General features: G+C 38.4%; 1 protein-coding gene across 1 annotated transcript in view; it reads left to right on the plus strand.

The window, feature by feature from the left end:
- NPR3 (natriuretic peptide receptor 3) overlaps positions 418-19,266 on the plus strand; it is a 100,849-nt gene continuing 82,000 nt past the window's right edge. The window contains exon 1 of the mRNA NM_001364458.2: positions 418-479. Within this exon, the coding sequence (NP_001351387.1) occupies positions 431-479 (49 nt within the window). The 5' untranslated portion in view covers positions 418-430. The remainder of the gene's footprint in view (positions 480-19,266) is intronic.

Below are 19,266 nucleotides of genomic sequence, written 5' to 3' on the forward strand. Positions count from 1 at the left end.
TTCTCTCCAGTCTCCCTGTGCGGACATCATCCTAGAACCATTACCTTAGTTCTCCCTCCATGTACCATGGGCTGGCTCAAGCCAGAGGAGCCAGATGTTTTTCCGGGCTTGTCCTTGGTTTCAGTTATTGGCTTGGAAGTCATACCTTTTCCTAGGGAACTCTTAGTGAAACTCACCAACTGTCCTTGAGCATGGTAGAATTGTTATTTTGATGGCTCCCTGTAAATCATGTTCCTGGTACTCACACCCTTGTGTAGTGTCTTCCCATATTGGCTGTGGTCTAGGCCATATGACATGCTGTGGCAAAGGGACATCAGCAAATGTCATGCCAAAGGGTTGATGAGCACTTGTGCACTGAGGCTTGTCTTCTTGGAACACTGTACACCACTATTTAAGAAATGCAGTCTACCCTGTTGGAGAAGCCGCATGGATGAGAACTGAGATGTTCCAGCTGACCACCCCGGGTATTCTCCAGACATGTGAGTGTGGCTCTCTTGGACCTTCTTGCTCCAGATAAACTGCCAGATGAGCAGATATTTTAATTCCTTTTTGATAGGCAGTGAGACAGCTCACTGTAACCATGCGAGCTCTCTTAGAGGAGACACTAGAAGAGCTGCCCATCTGAAGTTACCTGCAGAATTCTAAGTAAATAAATGGTTGCTGTTTTAAGATACTAAGTTTTGGGGTGGTTTGCTATGCAGAAATAGAAAACTGAGACATCCTGGATATTGTTCAGAGAAGTTATGGCTTGGGTAAGTGTTATGTGTTGTTCATACCCCTATCTGCAAAGTTGCGGTTTTAGCGAGCACTTGTTTACTTGTTTTTGGACATTAAGCGAGTACTTGTTTTTGGACACTATGCATCAATTTCTTCTACTTTTGGCACAATACTGGGATTTTACTTAGGGAAATCAATTATTCAATGTATCACATGCAGTTCCTTTGGCCACAGTGTTTGGACCAGAAGAGGTGGGTGACCTAATTGAGGACAATTAAAGATCAGATCCAAAACTTATGTTCAAACTCTCGCTTCATCCAGAAGACAGACTCTGAAGTTAGGAAAGATCTCAGGAAACTGGTTCAGCTTTTCTCTTTGGGAATGAAGACACACCTGAAAGGCGTTAGAAACATATTGAATTTGTACTGAAGGAATCCTCCTTGTAGAGCTGATGAGAATGTTAGCTGATGCTGCCATTTTGCAGAGTAATCTGGCTGTACTAAGTAAAATAAAACACATATACCTTTGAGCTAGAAACATGTATCCCAGGAAAATGCTCACGTAAGTCTAAAAGGGGACACCGATGAAGAGCTTCATCAGAGCAGTTTCTACTAACAGGGAAATAGCATAGGTGTCAAAAGCGAGGAGAAGGAATAAGTAAAACATGTTAGCATGTTATGCAGCATGCAAAAGTAATGATGTAGATTTTACACTTACTATTGTTAAGATCTGTCCATGCTATTCTCTGCAAAAATAAGAAATAGCACAATACAATTTCTATATTGGAATAATACATGAATGCACAAGAAAGACTCTTTTTCAGGAAATCAGATCTATTTACAGCATATATTAAACACATTAAGAAGAATCCTATGGAATGAAAGGAATGTGAAGAGAGCAACGAAGGGGCAAAGTAAAATAAGACAAGAACCTTGCAGATTGGAAATGAGAGTGTGCCAAGAATTGAGGATATAGCTAATTAAACATTTTTACTTGAGGTTAAAAAAGAACTCGAAGTGATTCACTAGTACATGAATGATTTGCAAATGAAGAAAATGTGTACACTTATATATACTTAGACATGAGAAATTACCCAAGAAGAAAGGCATTTCCATGTCATAACTCAAGACAACCAAGAGCCTGCCAAACAACAGGATTCAGGTTAAAATAGCTCTTACTATTTCTCCCAGGAAGTTAATTCATAAAGGAACAATAATAAAAAGGCTGACAAGAGAATATTTTTGTAGGATAGATGAGGCACAAAGACGAATATTTAAAGTGAAAGGAGTTACCAACAACTGAATAGGAACAATGTCAGCTTGATGAAATAAACTTCTCCACTAATGTGAGGGCAGAATTTGATGTTACAATATGATTACCAAAAATATGAGAGGGCAAATGTCAAGAATTTTCCTGATGTTTTTCTTATGGCATTCTATTCTATTTTAGTCTCATGCATCAGTTATCCAAGATGTAATACCAACTGGAATGTACTTGCTGGAAAGAAATAAAAAATTGTATCTCACAACATTGCACATCATGGTAATAGAAAATTTCCTCATTACCTTAAATTTCTGTTCCTAGCATAATAAAAGGGAACACACTGATTCTTCTTTAGGCTATTGCATTTTTCTCATTAGCAAGGAAATAATCAAGAATTAAGTATGGATTGGGGGTGGTGGCTCACGCCGGTAATCCTAGCACTTTGGAAGGCCAAGGTGGGATCGTCAGTTGAGCCCAGAAGTTTGAGACCCACCTGGGCCACATAGTGAGACCCCTGTCTCTACAAAAAAATAAAAAAATTAGCCAGGCATGGTGGCATGTGCCTGTAGTCCATCTACTCAGGAGGCTGAGACAGGAGAATCCCTTGATCCTGGGAGGTTGAGGCTGCAGTGAGCGGTGACTGTGCCACTGCACTCCATCCTGGGAACAGAGCAAGACCCTGTCTCAAAAAAAAAAAGGGATCTTTGATCTCTTATATTGTTTGTATAATCAGAAATCTAACATGACTGTATCGGAATGTTCTGAAAATTATGATTTTAGAAATACATACAAATAAATTTGTATATAAATGAGCTAATTTCACTTTGAATTATCTCTTTTTTCCTTTTATTGTTTCGTTCTTTCTCTTGTGAATTCTGTTTCTTTAACTTCTTTAAATTCTTATAAATTCTGTAAACTTTGCATTCTTTGGATTTATCATTGGTAAAATAAAATTTTAAGTGATCACATATTGTTCTTCAGGGAGGGAATGCAGGATTGAAGAAAAAACTCCCTTACGGAGTTTACATTTTAATGGCTTAATGCTGACTAATTTAGAATAGAAAATGTTCAATATTGTGATGTAATATGATCAGAAAAATGATTTTTATAAGGTGTTTTTGAAATTTGGTATATTTTTGTCCTGATAATGTTACTTTTGAACATAGCATATTTGCCTGCTGTAACACGATTGGCTATCACACAGATTTAAATATAACTTGGGCCACATCACATCCTCAAACAAAAGGAATGAATGTCTGATCCAAAAGGTTCAAGCCATAGAGCACCATAGTCCTTGACATACTGTAGATGTTTCAAAGGTTTCTTGAGTTTAATAAGAGCATTAAGCCCTGGGCCGGACATTTTTATAAGCTGAGTATTGAGTACATTAGTACATTCTACTCTTCTCTCATTATTTATAACACCCATGATCCAAAAGTTACATACACTCCCCGCAATGCAATCCTCTCTGTGCCTTCATACAATCTGCTTCCGGCTCTCCTTCGTCCTCAAAGTCCTGCCCCTTGCATAGCCACTTTTATTTTCACCCTTTCTTTTCTCGTTGCCTCTGATGGCTTCCTGTCTTCTCTTGCTCCTTCTAGTTCTCTCCAGCTGGAGGCAGCCTGAGTTTCTGGAGGATACTGAAAGCTGTTAAGGGCACTTGTGGGGTAGCAAACATGAGTCCTACTCTCTTTGTCCCATTATGTAAGAGAAAGAATATTGAACAAGTGCTGGTCTCAAGCTTACTTGGAAATATCTGAAGTTGGGATACCAGGGCCAATATCAAGGTGACTACTAAAAGGGTTCCCCCAGGGAAGCCACTGTTAACAAGCAAACATTATACAGTAAGGTCTGTTGTAATCAGGCAGTAGATAATTCCAAACAAATTACAACATAACAATATTGTCTAGAGTTTTAGATTCATTTGTTGATTCCATAAGCATTTATTGAACACTTACTTGGTGTAAAACTTTTTACCAGGCATTGAAGGGAATGTAATAAAAAGAGCTGCCATTTATTAATTTTCTACTGTATACTAAGCACTTTGCATCTGCTTTTTCTCAACCTTATTGCTACACCAGGATGATATCTGCGTTTTATTTATTTTTATTATTTGTCTAATTTTTAATTTTTGTAGGTACAGAGTAGGTATATATGTTTATGGGGTATGTGAAATATTTTGATACAGGCATACAATGCATAATAATCACATCGGGTGAATGGGATATCCATAACCTCAAGCATTTATCCCTTTGTTTTATTACACACAATCCAATTATACTGTTTTAGTTATTTTAAAATGTACAACAAATTATTGTTGACTGTAGCCACCCTGTGGTGCTATAAAATACTAGATCTTATTCATTTTATCTAAGTATATTTTTTACCCCATTAACCATCCCTATGTTCTCCCTCCCCCACCCTGTCCTTCCCAGTCTCTGGTAATCGTCATTCTATTCTCTGTCTCCATGAGTTCAATTATTTTAATTTTTAGCTCCAACAAATAAGTGAGAATATATTAAGTTTGTCTTTCCGTGCCTGGCTTAGTTCATTTAACATAATGGCTTCCAGTTCCATCCATGTTGTTGCACATGACAGGATCTCATTCTTTATTATGGCTGAATAGTAATCCACTGTGCATATTAACTACATTTTCTTTATCCATTAGTCTGTTGATGGACACTTGGGTTACTTCTCAATCTTCGCTATTGTGAATAGTGCTGCAATAAACATGGGAATGCAGATATCTCTTCAGTGTACTGATTTCCTTTCTTTTGGGTATATACCCAACAGAGGGGTTGCTGGATTTTACGGTAGCTCTATTTTTAGTTTTCTTTTCTTTTTTTTTGAGACGGAGCCTCGCTCTGTCGTCCAGGCTGGAGTGCAGTGGCACGATCTCGGCACACTGCAAGCTCCGCCTGCTGGGTTCACGCCATTCTCCTGCCTCAGCCTCCGGACTAGCTGGGACTACAGGTGCCCGCCACCACGCCCGCCCGGCTAATTTTTTGTACTTTTAGTAGAGACGGAGTTTCACGGTGTTAGTCAGGATGATCTGGATCTCCTGACCTCGTGATCTGTCCGCCTTGGCCTCCCAAAATGCTGGGATTACAGGCGTAAGCCACCACGCCTGGCCCTCTATTTTTAGTTTTTGAGGAACCTCCAACCTGTTCTCCATAGTGGTTATTCTAGTTTACATTCCCACCAACAGTGTACAAGAGTTCCCTTTTCTTCACTTACTCACCAGCATTTGTTATTGCCTGGCTTTTGAATAAAAGCCATTTTAACTGTGGTGAGATGATATCTCATTGTAGTTTTGATTTGCATTTCTCTGGTGATCAATGATGTTGAGCACCTTTTCACATACTTGTTTGCCATTGATATGCCTTCTTTTGAGAAATGTCTATTCAGATCCTCTGCCCATTTTTAAATCACATAATTAGATATTTTCCTATAGAGTTGTTTGAGCTCCTTATATATTATAATTATTAATCCCTTGTCAGATGGATAGTTTGAAAATTTTTTCTCCCATTTTACGGGCTGCCTTCACTTTGTTGGTTGTTTCCTTGGCTGTGCAGAAGCTTTTCAATTTGATGTGATCCAATTCATTCATTTTTTGCTTTGGTTGCTTGTGCTTGTGGGGTATTACTCAAGAAATCTTTGTCCATACCAATGTCCTGGATAGTTTCCCGTGTTTTCTTGTAGCAGTTTCATAGTTTGAGGTCTCAGATTTGATTTTTGTATATAATGAGAGATAGGGTTTTAGTTTTATTATTCTGCATATGGATATCCAGTTTTCCCAGCACCATTTATTGAAAAGGGTGTCCTTTCCCTAATGGATGTTCTTGACCCCTTTTTCAAAAATGAGTTCACTGTAGAGGTATGGATTTGTTTCTGGGTTCTCTATTCTGTTACATTGGTCTCTGTGTCTGTTTTTATGCTAGTACCATGCTGTTTTGGTTACTATAGCTTTACAGTATAACTTAAAGTCAGGTAATGTGATTCTTCCAGCTTTTTTTTTTTCTTTTTGCTTAGGATAGCTTTGGCTATTCCGAGTCTTTTGTGGTTCCATATAAACTTTAGAATTGTTTTTTCTAGGTCTGTGAAGAATGTCATTGGTATTTTGATAGAGATTACATTGAATATGTAGATGGTTTTTGATAGTATGGACATTTAAGAATATTGATTCTTCCAATCCATGAACATGGAATATCTTTCCATTTGTTGTGTCATCTTCAATTTCTTTCATCAGCGTTTCATAGTTTTCATTGAAGAGATCTTTCACTTCTTTGGTTAATTCCTAGGTATTTTATTTTATTTTTAGCTGTTGAAAGCGGGATTACTCTCTTGATTTCTTTTTAAGATTATTCACTGTTGGCATATAGAAATACTACTGATTTTTGTATGTTGATTTTGTATCTTGTAACTTTACTGAATTTATCAGTTACAATACCTTTTGTGGAGTCTTTACATTTTTCCAAATATAAGATCATATCATCTGCAAACAAGAATAATTTGACTTCTTCCATTCCAGTTTAGATGCCCTTTATTTCTTTCTCTTGTCTCCTCTGGCTAAGACTTCCAGTACTATGTTTAATAACAGTGGTGACAGTGTCATGTTCCATATCTTAGAGGAAAGGCTTTCAGGTTTTCCCTATTCAGCATGATACTAGCTGTGGGTTTGTCATATATGGTTTTTATTGTGTTGACATATGTTCCTTCTATACTCAGATTTTTGAGGGCTTTTTAAATTGTGAAGGGATGTTGAATTATATTCAATGCTTTTTCAGCATCAATTGAAATGATCATATGGTTTTTGTCCTTCATTCTGTTGATGTGATGTATTACACTGATTGATTTGCTTATGTTGAACCTTCCTTGTTTCCCTGGAATGAATCCTACTTGGTCACAATAAATGATCCTTTTAATGTGTTATTGAATTTGGTTTGCTATTCTTATATTGAGGATTTCTGCACCAATGTTCGTCAGAGATATTGGCCTGTAGTTTTCTTTCTTTTTTTTTTTTGATATGTCTTTTTCTGGTTTTGGTGTCAGGGTTAACACTGGCTGCATAGAGTGAGTTTGGATGTATTCTTTCCTTCTCGATTTTTCAGAGTAGTTTGAGTAGAATTGGTATTAGTTCTTCTTTAAATGTTTGGTAAAATCCAGCAGTGAAACCATTTGGTTCTGGGCTTTTCTCTGCTGAGAGACTTTTTATTATGGCTTCAACCTTGTTACTTGTTATTGGTCTGTTCAGGTTTTGGATTTCTTCATGGTTCAATCTTGGTAGATTGTATGTGTCTAGGAATTTATCCATTTCTTCTAGATTTTCCAATTTATTGGCATATGGCTGCTTATAGTAGCCTCTAATGATCCTTTGAATTTCTGTGGTATTGATTGTAATGTCTCCTTTTTCATCTCTGATTTTATTTATTCAGGTATTCTCTTTTATTTTTAGTCTTGCTAAAGGTTTGTCGATTTTCTTTATTTTTTCAAAACACCAACTTTTCATTTTGTTCATCTTTTGTATTGTTTTCTTTGTTTCTGTTTCATTTATTTCTGCTCTGATCTTTATTATTTCTTTTCTTCTACCAATTTTGGGTTTGATTTTCTCTTCCTTTTCTAGTTCTTTAAGATACATCATTAGGTTGTTTAATTGAAGTTTTTCTACTTTTTTTTGATGTAGGTGCTTATAGCTATAGACTTTCCTCTTAGTACTGCTTTCACTGTATCCCATGGGTTTTGGTATGTTGTGTTCCATTATCCTTTGTTTCAAGAGATTTAAAAATTTCCTTCTTAATTTCTTCATTAACCCACAGGTCATTAAGGAGCATATTGTTTAATTTTCATGTGTTTATATAGTTTTCAAATTCCCCTTATTTTTTATTTCAAGTTTTATTCCATTGTGGTCAGAGAAGATGCTTGATATAATTTCATTTTTTTTTTGAATTTTTAAAGACTTGTTTCGTGGCTTAACATATGGTCTTTTCTGTGCTGAGGAGAAGAATGAGTATTCTGCAGCCATTGGATGAAATGATCTGTAAATATCTATTAGGTCCATTTGGTCTATAATGCAGGTTAAGTTCAATGTTTCTTTGTCAATATTCTGTCTGGAAGATTTGTCAAAGGCTGAAAGTGGGATGTTGAAGTCTCCACCTATTATTGTATTGGGATCTATCTCTCTCTTTAGCTCTAATAATCTTTGCTTTATACATCTGGGTTCTCCAGAGTTGGGTGCATATATTTGCAATTGTTATATCCTCTTGCTGACTTGACCCCTTTATCATTAGATAATGACCTTGTTTGTCTCTTTTTATAGTTTTTATCTTAAAATCTATTTTGTCTAAGTATAGCTACTCCTGCCCCTTTTTGGTTTCTATTTGCATGGAATATCTTTTCCATCCCTTTATTTTCAGTCTATGTGTGTCTTTAGAGGCAAAGTGTGTTTCTTGTACACAATAGATGGTTGGATCTTGTCTTTTTAAATCCATTCAGCCAGTTTATGTCTTTTGATTGGAAAGTTTAGTCCATTTACATTCAATGTTATTATTGATAAGTAAGGACTTAACTCCTGCCAGTTTGTTATTAGTTTTCTGGTTATTTTGTGGTTTTCTCTTCTTTCATTCCTTCTTGTCTTCCTTTTAGTGAGGGTGATTTTCTGCAATGGTGTGTTTTAATTTCTTGCTTTTTATTTTTTATGTATGTGTTGTATGTTTTTTATTTGAGGTTACTATGATGCTTACAAATAATATAACCCACTTATTTTAGACTGATGGCAACTTAACACTGATTGCATAAACAAACTAACAAACAAGCAAAAAGCAAATGAACAAAAACTCTGCGCTTCATTTTTGTGTTTTTTATTATTTTATTTAACTTTAAATTCTGGGATACAAGTGCAGAACATGTAGGTTTGTTACATAGGTATACGTGTGTCATGGTGGTTTGCTGCACTTATCAAATTAATCCATCATCTAGGTTTTAAGCCCCGAATGCATTAGCTATTTGTCCTAATGCTTTCCCTCCACTCATCCCCTAACCCCCTGACTGGCCCCAATGTGTGCTGTTCACCTCCCTGTGTCCATGTGTTCTTATTGTTTAACTCCCACTTATGATTGAGAACATGCAGTGTTTGGAAAAACTCTGCACTTTAACTTCATCCTCCTGCTTTTTAACTTTTTGTCACTTGTATTTATATTTTCTTGTATTGTGTATGTCTTGAAAAGTTGTTGTAGTTATTATTTTTGATTAGTTTATGTTGTTGTCATTCTACTCGACATGAGTAGTTTACACACCACAATTACAATGTTATAATATTCTGTGCTTTTCTGTGTACCTACTGTTACACAGTAATAGGGAGTTTTGTACCTTCAGATGGTTTCTTATTGCTCATTAATGTCCTTTTCTTTCAGATTGAATCACTCCCTTGAGCATTTCTTGTAGGACAGGTCTGGTATTGATGAAATCCTTAGCTTTTGCACTACTGGGAAAATCTTTAATTTTCTTTCATGTTTGAAGAATATTTTCACCAGATATACTATTCTAGTTTAAAAGTTTTTTCCTTCAGCACTTTAAATATGTTGGGCTACTCTCTCCTGGCCTGTAAGGTTTCTACTGAGATGTTTGCTGCCAGATATATTGGAGCTCCATTGTATGTTATTTGTTTCTTTTTCTCTTGCTACTTTTAGGATCCTTTCTTTAACCTTGACCATTGGGAGTTTCATAATTAAATGTCTCAAGTTCTTTTTTGGGTTAAATCTGCTTGGTGTTCTATAACTTTCTTGTACTTGAATATTGATATCTTTTTCTAGGTTTGGAAAGTTCTCTGTTATTATCCCTTTGAATAAACTTTCTGCTGCGTCACTCTCTCTACCTCCTCTTTAAGGCCAGTAACTCTTGAATTTGCCCCTCTAAGGCTATTTTCTAGATTTGGTAGATGTGCTTCATTGTTTTTTTAAATTCTTTTTTCTTTTTTTTCATTATACTTTGAGTTCTAGGGTACATGCGCACAATGTGCAGGTTTGTTACATAGGTATACATGTGCCATATTGGTTTGCTGCACCCATCAACTCATCATTTACATTAGGTATTTCTCCTAATGCTATCCCTTCCCCAGCCCCCCACCCCCCGACAGGCCCTGGTGTGTGATGTTCCTCGCCCTGTGTCCATGTGTTCTCATTGTTCAATTCCCACCTATGAGTGAGAACATGTGGTGTTTGGTTTTCTGTCCTTGTGATAGTTTGCTGAGAATGATGCTTTCCAGCTTCATCCATGTCCCTGCCAAGGACATGAACTCATCGTTTTTTATGGCTGCATAGTATTCCATGGTGTATATGTGCCACATTTTAATAATCCAGTCTATCATTGATGGACATTTGGATTGGTTCCAAGTCTTTGTTATTGTGAATAGTGCCACAATAAACATACATGTGCATGTGTCTTTATAGTAGCATGATTTATAATCTCCTGGGTATATACCCAGTAATGGGATGGCTGGGTCAAATGGTATTTCTAGTTCTAGATCCTTGAGAAATCGCCACACTGTGTTCCACAATGGTTGAACTAATTTACACTTCCACCAACAGTGTAAAAATGTTCCTCTTTCTCCACATCCTCTCCAGCATCTGTTATTTCCTGACTTTTTAATGATCACCATTCTAACTGGCGCGAGATGGTATCTCATTGTATTTTTGATTTGCATTTCTCTGATGACCACTGATGATGAGCATTTTTTCAAGTGTCTGCTGGCTGTTTTTTTATTATTATTTTTTCTTTTGTTTCCTCTGACTATGTATTTTCAAATATCCTGTCCTCATGTTCACTAGTTTTTTCTTCTGCATGATCACTTCTGCTGTTAAGAGACTCTGATGCATTCTTCAGTAGGTCAATTGCATTTTCAACTCCAGAATTTCTCCTTGATTCTTTTAAATTATTTCAATGTGTTTGTTGAATTTATCTTATAGGACTGTGAATTCCTTCCCTGTGTTATCTTGGATTTCATTGAGCTTCCTCAAAACAGCTATTTTGAATTCTCTGTCTGAAAGATCACGTATCTTTGTCTTCCCAGGATTGATCCTTGTTGCCTTATTTAGTTCATTTGGTGAGGTCATGTTTTCCTAGATGATCTTGATGCTTGTGGGTGTTTGTCAGTGTCTGGGCATTGAAGAGTTAGGCATCTATTGTAGTCTTTGCAGTCTGGGCTTCTTTACACACATCCTTCTTGGGAAGGCTTTCCAGGTATTCAAAGGGACTTGGGTATTGTAATCTAAGTTTTTGGTCACTGCATCTGTATCTGCATTAGGCGGCATCCCAAGCTCAGTCATGCTGTGGCTTTTGCAGACTTATATAGGTACTGCCTTGGTGGTCTTGGATGAGACACGAAAGAGTACTCTGGATTACCAGGCAGAGACTCTTCTTCTCTTCCATTTATTTTCTGCCAAACAAACGGAGTCTCTCTCTCTGTGCTGAGCTGCCTGAAGCCAGGGAATGCTGACATAAGTATCTCTGTTGTGGCCACCACCACTGGGACTGTGCTGGGTCAGATCTGAAGCGAGCATAGCAGTGGGTATTGCCCAAGGTCTGTAGTAACCACTGCCTTGCTACCAGTTAGGTTCACTCAAGGCCCTGAGGCTCTACAATTAACAGGTGGAAAAGCCAGCCAGGCTTGTGTTCTTCTCTTCAGGATGCTGAGTTCCCCCTGCCCCTGGGTAGGTTCAGAGATGCCATCCAGGAGCCAGGGCCTAAAGTTGGAAACCTTAGGATCTACCTGGCGCACTAGTCTACTGCGGCTGAGCTGGTACCCAAGCCACATAACAAATTCTTTTTTTAAATTTTATTATTATTATACTTTAAGTTTTAGGGTACATGTGCACAATGTGCAGGTTAGTTACATATGTATACATGTCCCATGCTGGTGTGCTGCACCCAATAACTCGTCATTTAGCAGTAGGTATATCTCCTAATGCTATCCCTCCCCCCTCCCCCCACCCCACAACAGTCCCCAGAGTGTGATGTTCCCCTTCCTGTGTCCATGTGTTCTCATTGTTCAATTCCCACCTATGAGTGAGAACATGCGGTGTTTGGTTTTTTTTGTCCTTACGATAGTTTACTGAGAATGATGATTTCCAATTTCATCCGTGTCCCTACAAAGGACATGAACTCATCATTTTTTATGGCTGCATAGTATTCCATAGTGTATATGTGCCACATTTTCTTAATCCAGTCTGTCATTGTTGGACATTTGGTTTGGTTCCAAGTCTTTGCTATTGTGAATAGTGCCACAATAAGCATACGTGTGCATGTGTCTTTACAGCAGCATGATTTGTAGTCTTTTGGGTATATACCCAGTAATGGGATGGCTGGGTCAAATTGTATTTCTAGTTCTAGATCCCTGAGGAATCGCCACACTGACTTCCACAATGGTTGAACTAGTTTACAGTCCCACCAACAATGTAAAAGTGTTCCTATTTCTCCACATCCTCTCCAGCACCTGTTGTTTCCTGACTTTTTAATGATTGCCATTCTAACTGGTGTGAGATGGTATCTCATTGTGGTTTTGATTTGCATTTCTCTGATGGCCAGTGATGGTGAGCATTTTTTCAGCCACATGACAAATTCTGTGCCACTATTCCTTTCCCTTTTCATAAGCAAAGGAATCTCTCCATATGGTCATCACCACTTCAGGATTATGATGAGTACTTCCTGGCTACTGCTGATGTTCACTCATGGCCCAAGCACTCTTCAGTTAGCTTGTCATAAATGCTGGGCCTGGGAGTCTCCCTTCAGGGCACTGGGCTCCCCTCTGGCCCAGGGAGTATCCATAAATGCCATCTAATGGCATCTTGGGGTCTCCATTTCCAAGAGCCAAGGCCTGGAACTGGGGACCCCAAAAGCCCGTTTAGTGTTCTATGCCACTGTGGCTGAGCTGGCACTTAAGCTTTGAGACAAAGCCCCCTTTACTATTCCCTTTCCTTTTCTCAAGCAGAAGGAGTCTCTCCCAGTAGTCACCATGGCTGGGAATGTGCTGGGCCACACCTAAAGCCAGCATAGCCCTGGGTTTCACCAAAGGCCCACAGCAAATACTTCCTGGCTATTACTGCTGACTATTCAGGGCCCAAAGGCTCTTTAGACTGCAGGTGATAAATCCTGCCAGGACTGGGTCCTTCCCTTCAAGGCAGCAGGTTCCCTCCTTGCCCAGAATATTTCTAGAAATGTCATCTGGGAGCTAGGGCCTGGAATGGGGGCCTCAGGACTCCTTTTGGTGGCCTATCCTACTGTGGCTGAGCTGGTAGCCAAATTGCAAGACAGTCCTCTTTTCTCTTCCATTTCTTCTCCTCAAGTGGAAGGAAGGAGTCTCTTGTGGAGCTGCAAGCTGCACTGCCTGGGGTTGGGAGAGGGTGGGGTGCAAGCACTGCCTTGGCCATCCTGGCTGGTGTCTCACTAGGTCATGTGTCCCCCACATCCACTGGCTCCACGCCTAGCACAGCACCAGGACTTGCCCACAAATTGCAGTCCCTGTGGCCTAGACTGTCTTTCAAGTTTATTTAGAACCCAAAGCACTTTAGCCCACTGTGGCAAGGCTTGTTGTATCTCAGGTTCCAACCACTAGGATGGATGATTCCCCTTTGGTTAGGGCTAGTGTAAATGCTCCCTTCATGGGCACTGGCTGAGTTCTGCCCAGTATTTCTTTCTGCTGTTAAAAGGCAGCACTGGGTCCCAGTGCAAAGTCCCACAGTCATTGCACTCTGTCTCTCAAGTGCACAGATTCTCTCTCCACACCACATGGCTGCTGCTGGGGGATGGGGGAAGGTTGGCATTGGCAATTCAAGGCTGTCTTTCCTACCCTTTTTTAATGCCCCTTTCAGTGATATGAAATGAAAACCAGGTACTGTGATTTATCATCTGGTTTTTGGTTCTTATGAAGTGTTCTTTTGGCTCTTTGTGTGTGTGTGTGTGTGTGTGTGTGTGTGTGTATAGTTGTTCAATTTGGTGTTCCTGTGGGGACGACAACTGGTGGGGGCTTCTATTTAGCCAGCTTGCTCTGTCTTCCAAATGATATCTCTATTTTAGAAATGAGAAAATTGAGAAAGTGAAGGTTAAACAGGTTAAGTGATAATGCGCAGACATTTTGATGAGGCTTCTAAATGCATGATCTTAACACAGTATACCACCCTGGAGACTGGATCCCAACCCAGACATATTTTCCTGCAAATGGAAATACAATTTGGTGTGATCACAAATCTGAGCAATGTTATGGAAACTGAGATGGGAGAGGAGATCATTTCTGAGGCCATTACAAGAGAGTAAGACCCAATGGCTCTGCAACATGCGCTGGCGTTTGCACATGGCCCAGTGCCCATTTCCTGCACTCCCCAGCCAGGGCAGGAAAGTTTTCTAAAATTTGATTTTATGTATTTGTGTGCTTTCTCAAATCCTTTTTGGAAGAAGGCAGCGTACAACTAAATAAATCCATTAAACATAGTCAGTATTGGTATGCATGAAGTTGAAGTGCATATAAGTGGTCTTCAAAAAGTTTGTGGAATATGTGTATTATGAAAAAAACTATGCATAGATTTCAAAATTATTTTTTAACAAACTTATACTAACTTTTTATGACATGTCTGAATAGGATTCAATTTGAGGCACTATCAGAGCAAAATGAATTCTGCTGAAATTGAAGCAAGGGGAAACATTAAATTTACAGTGAAGCTTGGGTTGAAAAATGCTGAAGTAATTGATGCTTTAAAAAAAGCTTGTGGGGACAATGCCTTAAGGAAATCAGAAGTTTACAAATAGATAACTCATTCTGAGAAAGGACAAGATAATGTTGATAATGAAGCCCACAGTGGCAGACCATCCACATCAAGTTTTGAGAAAAAACAAACTAACCAACCAATCTTGTTTGTGCCTGTATTAGTCTATTCTCACACTGCTATAAAGAAATACCTGAGATTGGGTAATTTATAAAGAAAAGAGGTTTAATTGGCTCACAGTTCTACAGGCTGTACAGGAAGCAGGATGATGGCAGTCTGCTCAGCTTCTGGGGAGACCTCAGGAAACTTACAATCATGGCAGAAGGCAAAGGGGAAGTAGGCATGTCTTACATGGCTAGAGCAGGAGGAAGAGGGATGGGGAGGGGGAGATGCTACACACTTTTAAACAACTAGATTTTATGAGAACTCTATCACCATGACAGCACCAAGGGGGATGGTGTTAAACCATGAGAAACTGCCCCCGTGACCCAATCACCTCCCACCAGTCCCCTTTTCAAATATTGGGGATTACAATTCAACATGAGATTTGGGGAGGGACACAGATTCAAACCATATCAATGGGGAAGACCAGCGATTAACAGCAGAAACAATAATCAACGCCATAGATATCTCAATTGGTTCAGCTTCCACATTTCCAATGGAAAAATTAAAGTTCAGCAAATATTCCAGTCAATGGGTGCCAAAACTGTTGCAGCCAGATTAGTTGAAGACAAAAGCAGAACTTTCAATGGAAATTTTAAACAAGTGAAATATCCCAAAGCATTTATTTGGAGAATTGTCCCTGCCAAATCTCATGCTGAATTGTAATCCCCAATGTCAGTGGCGGGGCCTGGTGGGAGATGTTTGGGTCATGGGGGCGTATCCCTCATGACTTGGTGCTGTCCTTGGCAATAGTGAGTGAATTCTCATGAGATCTGGCTGTTTAAGTGTGTGGCACCTCCCTGCCAACCCTGCACTCTGTCTCAGCATGTGAGGTGCCTGCTCCCCCTTCGCCTTCTGCCATTCTTGTAAGCTTGCTGAGGCCCTCGTCGGAAGCCGAGCAGATTCTGGTGCCATGCTTCTTGTACATCCTGCAGAACCATGAGCTAATTAAACAACTTTTCTTTATAAATTAACCAGTCTCAGTTATTTCCTTATTTCAATGCAAAAATGGCCTAATACACAGGGGGATGAAACACTGCTTTACCAACATGATCCTGAAGACAAACACAATTAAAGCAGTGGCTACCAAGAGGTGGAAGTGGTCAAGAGCCAAGGTTATGGCAATGGTTTCTTGAAATGCTTAAGGCATTTTGCTTGTTGACTTTCTGGAGGATCAAAGAATGGTAACTTTTGTTTATTTTGAGAGTGTTTTGATAAAGTTAGTCAAAACTTTGCCTAGAAATGTCTGGGAAAGTTTCGCCAGAGACTTCTTCCCCACCACGACAATATTCCTGCTCATTTCTGTCATCAAACAAAGGTGATTTTGTGAGAGTTTTGATGGGAAATCATTAGGTATCTACCTTATAGTCCTGATTTGGCTCCTTCTGACTTCTCTTTGTTTCCTGATCTTAAATAAATTTGTAAAGGGCACTCATTTTTTATTTTTTTCAGTTAATAAAGATTGCATTGACATGCTTAAGTTTCCAGGACCCTTGGTTTTTTAGGGATAAACTACATGGTTGGGATCACCACTCAGAAGAGTGTCTTGAACTTGATGAATCTTTTGTTAAGAAATAAAGTTCATATTTTAAATTTTTATCTTTTAATTCCATTTTACATGAACTTTTTGAAGTCCCCATTCACACTCGTTTTTGTGAATATAATAATCTACATAAATTAACTTGTCTATAAATCAATGATATGAGAATTCTTCATATAGCTTGCAAATCTTATGCCAGTATTCAGGTTAAATCACTGACTAGCTATACGTTTTTCAGAAGTCTTTCTAATGTCACTTTGCCTCAGAACATCTTCAAAGAAGTGAAAAAAAGATGGTAGTTGATGGAAATCTAAGAGGATTATAATAAAGAAACAACTCTGTGTTTTCAAAAGAACCCCTTAAGGTCACATTTAGCTGCAGCTTCTGATGAGATTGAATTATAAATTTAATTAGAAAAATATAAAATTACTATTATTTATAGTGCTGGCAAATTAAAATAATAGATTTATATAATAGAAGAAAAAGAGTAAGTTAATAAAGTCCCTGCTAAGGAAAGTAAGAACCTAGAGGCAAAATTTTAATTTAATTTTTTGGCATCCATTGATTTTTTTTCCCCACTTCTTGAATAGTTCACTCTAAAACAGCAACTATATGTAAAGAATGAAATCTCAACACTGATTACATTACAGAAATGTTCTTGAATTATTTGTAATGTTCTTTCATCTTTTCTGCCTCTAGGGGGGAGTGTGTTTTCAACAATTCTGGCCTCAGAAGGTATTTTATTGTGGGCCACAGGCTTCACAGGGGTATTCTCGAATACAACTTTAGGGCTGGCTCAACAAGGGAGAAAAGGACCTCTGAAAATCTAGGTGGGTTCTTAGTTTAGAGGTTGCAGCCAGGATGCCAAGGGAGAAGAGTTGCAGAGACTGTTACAGTTGGTGGTGGAGAAAACTTACTTCTGATAGAATTTCTAATACACTTCAAAGAATCACATGTTAGTTTTCCTATATTAATGCTGTCTTTCCTGGTAGTGAGAAATAACATATAGACAGTAATTTCATTTCATAGAGCTGGAAAATAAACCGTTGAATACTTTATAGAAAACTTGCCACCTTATTGTAGTAGCTTGCCACCTTATTGTAGTAGCTTTAAAAAAAAAAAAAAAAAAAACAACCCAAACAACAAAACATGGTTTGTGGATATTAAGTAAAACATTTCTAAACCTCATAAAAAGTCTATTAGTTTCTGAAATATCCTGTTTAGAGCTAACATTGTCTTTCTTTCAAATGGCTAATTTTCTTTCATTTTGCAGCATTTTCCCATAACTTTCCTTTGGTTTCATTCAACAACTGAAGCCAGAAAGGAAGCACCTAGTAAAAAGGTTACCACTCTTTTGAATGTTAAAAAAATACTTATTTTTCCCCATTTCAGTGTTTTACAGAATTGAAAGAAATAATATTTAAAAATTGAGTCAAATAAATAAGTTATTTCTATTTTTTCCTTTTGATTCATTTTTGTGATTAAAGTGCTGCAAAAATTCTATTACAAAATGTTATTTTTGGGTTTATTGTGCTGTATTAGCCTCCAAACTTAGCTATATATATATATAAAAATTTGATATAAAGAATGTTATTACTTAGAGTAGAAATTAACTTTGTTCCTAACACTTTCACATGATGTAACTGGTGGTCCTTGGTTTACTTTGAATACAATCCCATTTAAAAATATTCTCAGGGGATGAAGAGGTATTTAAGTATATCACTTATACTGTTTGGGCCTTAATTCATCTAGAGAGTAAGGGGTGTCAGGCTGGGTGACTTAAGTCTTCTGGCCTGAAGATTTAGAACTACTTATTTACACAAACTTTCAGTTGGTTGCAAAAATTCTAACTTGATGGAAAGTAAACAAACCCGTAACTTTGAAATCCATACACTTACATTACTTGGTGGGTCTTCCCATAATCTTGTGACTCTTTTCATTTGAAAAGGTTTTTTAAAAACCCTAATTGTTGCTCACTGGAATTCTTAAGGGGTGTTTTGAGCTTCAGCAAAAGCATAACACTGGCTTTTTTTTTTTTTTTAATTCGTTCCGCTGCTTGGTTTGGGGTCTCTTCCCTTCCGCAGCTTGGTCTTGTTGCTGCTCTTGAGTGTGACAAACTGCAAGTCGAGAGCTCTTGTCCAAAAGCTGCGGAGAGGCTACGGGCACTCACCCTTACTTAAGCGCACTGCCCTGCTGTTGAACTGCAGGCGAGGCTAGGTAGCATCTGGGATGGGACAGGCGTTCACACCGGTGCCACTGAAACCCCAGACTCTCCGCATAAACCCACACCACACGCGGCAGAATCATATCGCCATTGGCTGGTGTTCCGCAGACACAGGGCATACCGCAGAGTAATAGGAAACACTGGTTCCTACCACTGTGGCCAGTGGTAGGACTGGGTCTCCGAGGCAGGACCTTTCTTGGAGTCTCGGAACCCCAGCACAGTGCCTGGCAACCAGTTTCGAAATCCATTAAGACCCTTGGAATTCATGATTTAGTTCTTGTTTTGTTGTTGTTCTTTTTCTTTTTTTTTTTTTTTAATCTGTGCTGCCATAAACGCCTGCCCTTCTGCAAATTCAGGAAAGATTTAATTGCTGTGGAGCACTAAATCTCAATTTCCAGTGTGTGTGGATTACCCTGTTTGTGGAATTAAATTTTATACAGATGTCTCTTTTGCTCCTGGTTAGTGGCTCTAATTAAATAAATGGAAATTCTCGCAGGAATTAGAAGCTCCTACTTAACAGTGAAGATTTCGGGATCACAGTGCATAATCTGAATATAAATGACCCAGAAGCTGAAACATTACCCATAATCACATTGACGGTTCCAGAAAGA

The sequence above is a fragment of the Homo sapiens genome, chromosome 5 (genome assembly GCF_000001405.40).
Source record: "Homo sapiens chromosome 5, GRCh38.p14 Primary Assembly".
In the NCBI taxonomy this organism is placed as follows: domain Eukaryota; kingdom Metazoa; phylum Chordata; class Mammalia; order Primates; family Hominidae; genus Homo; species Homo sapiens.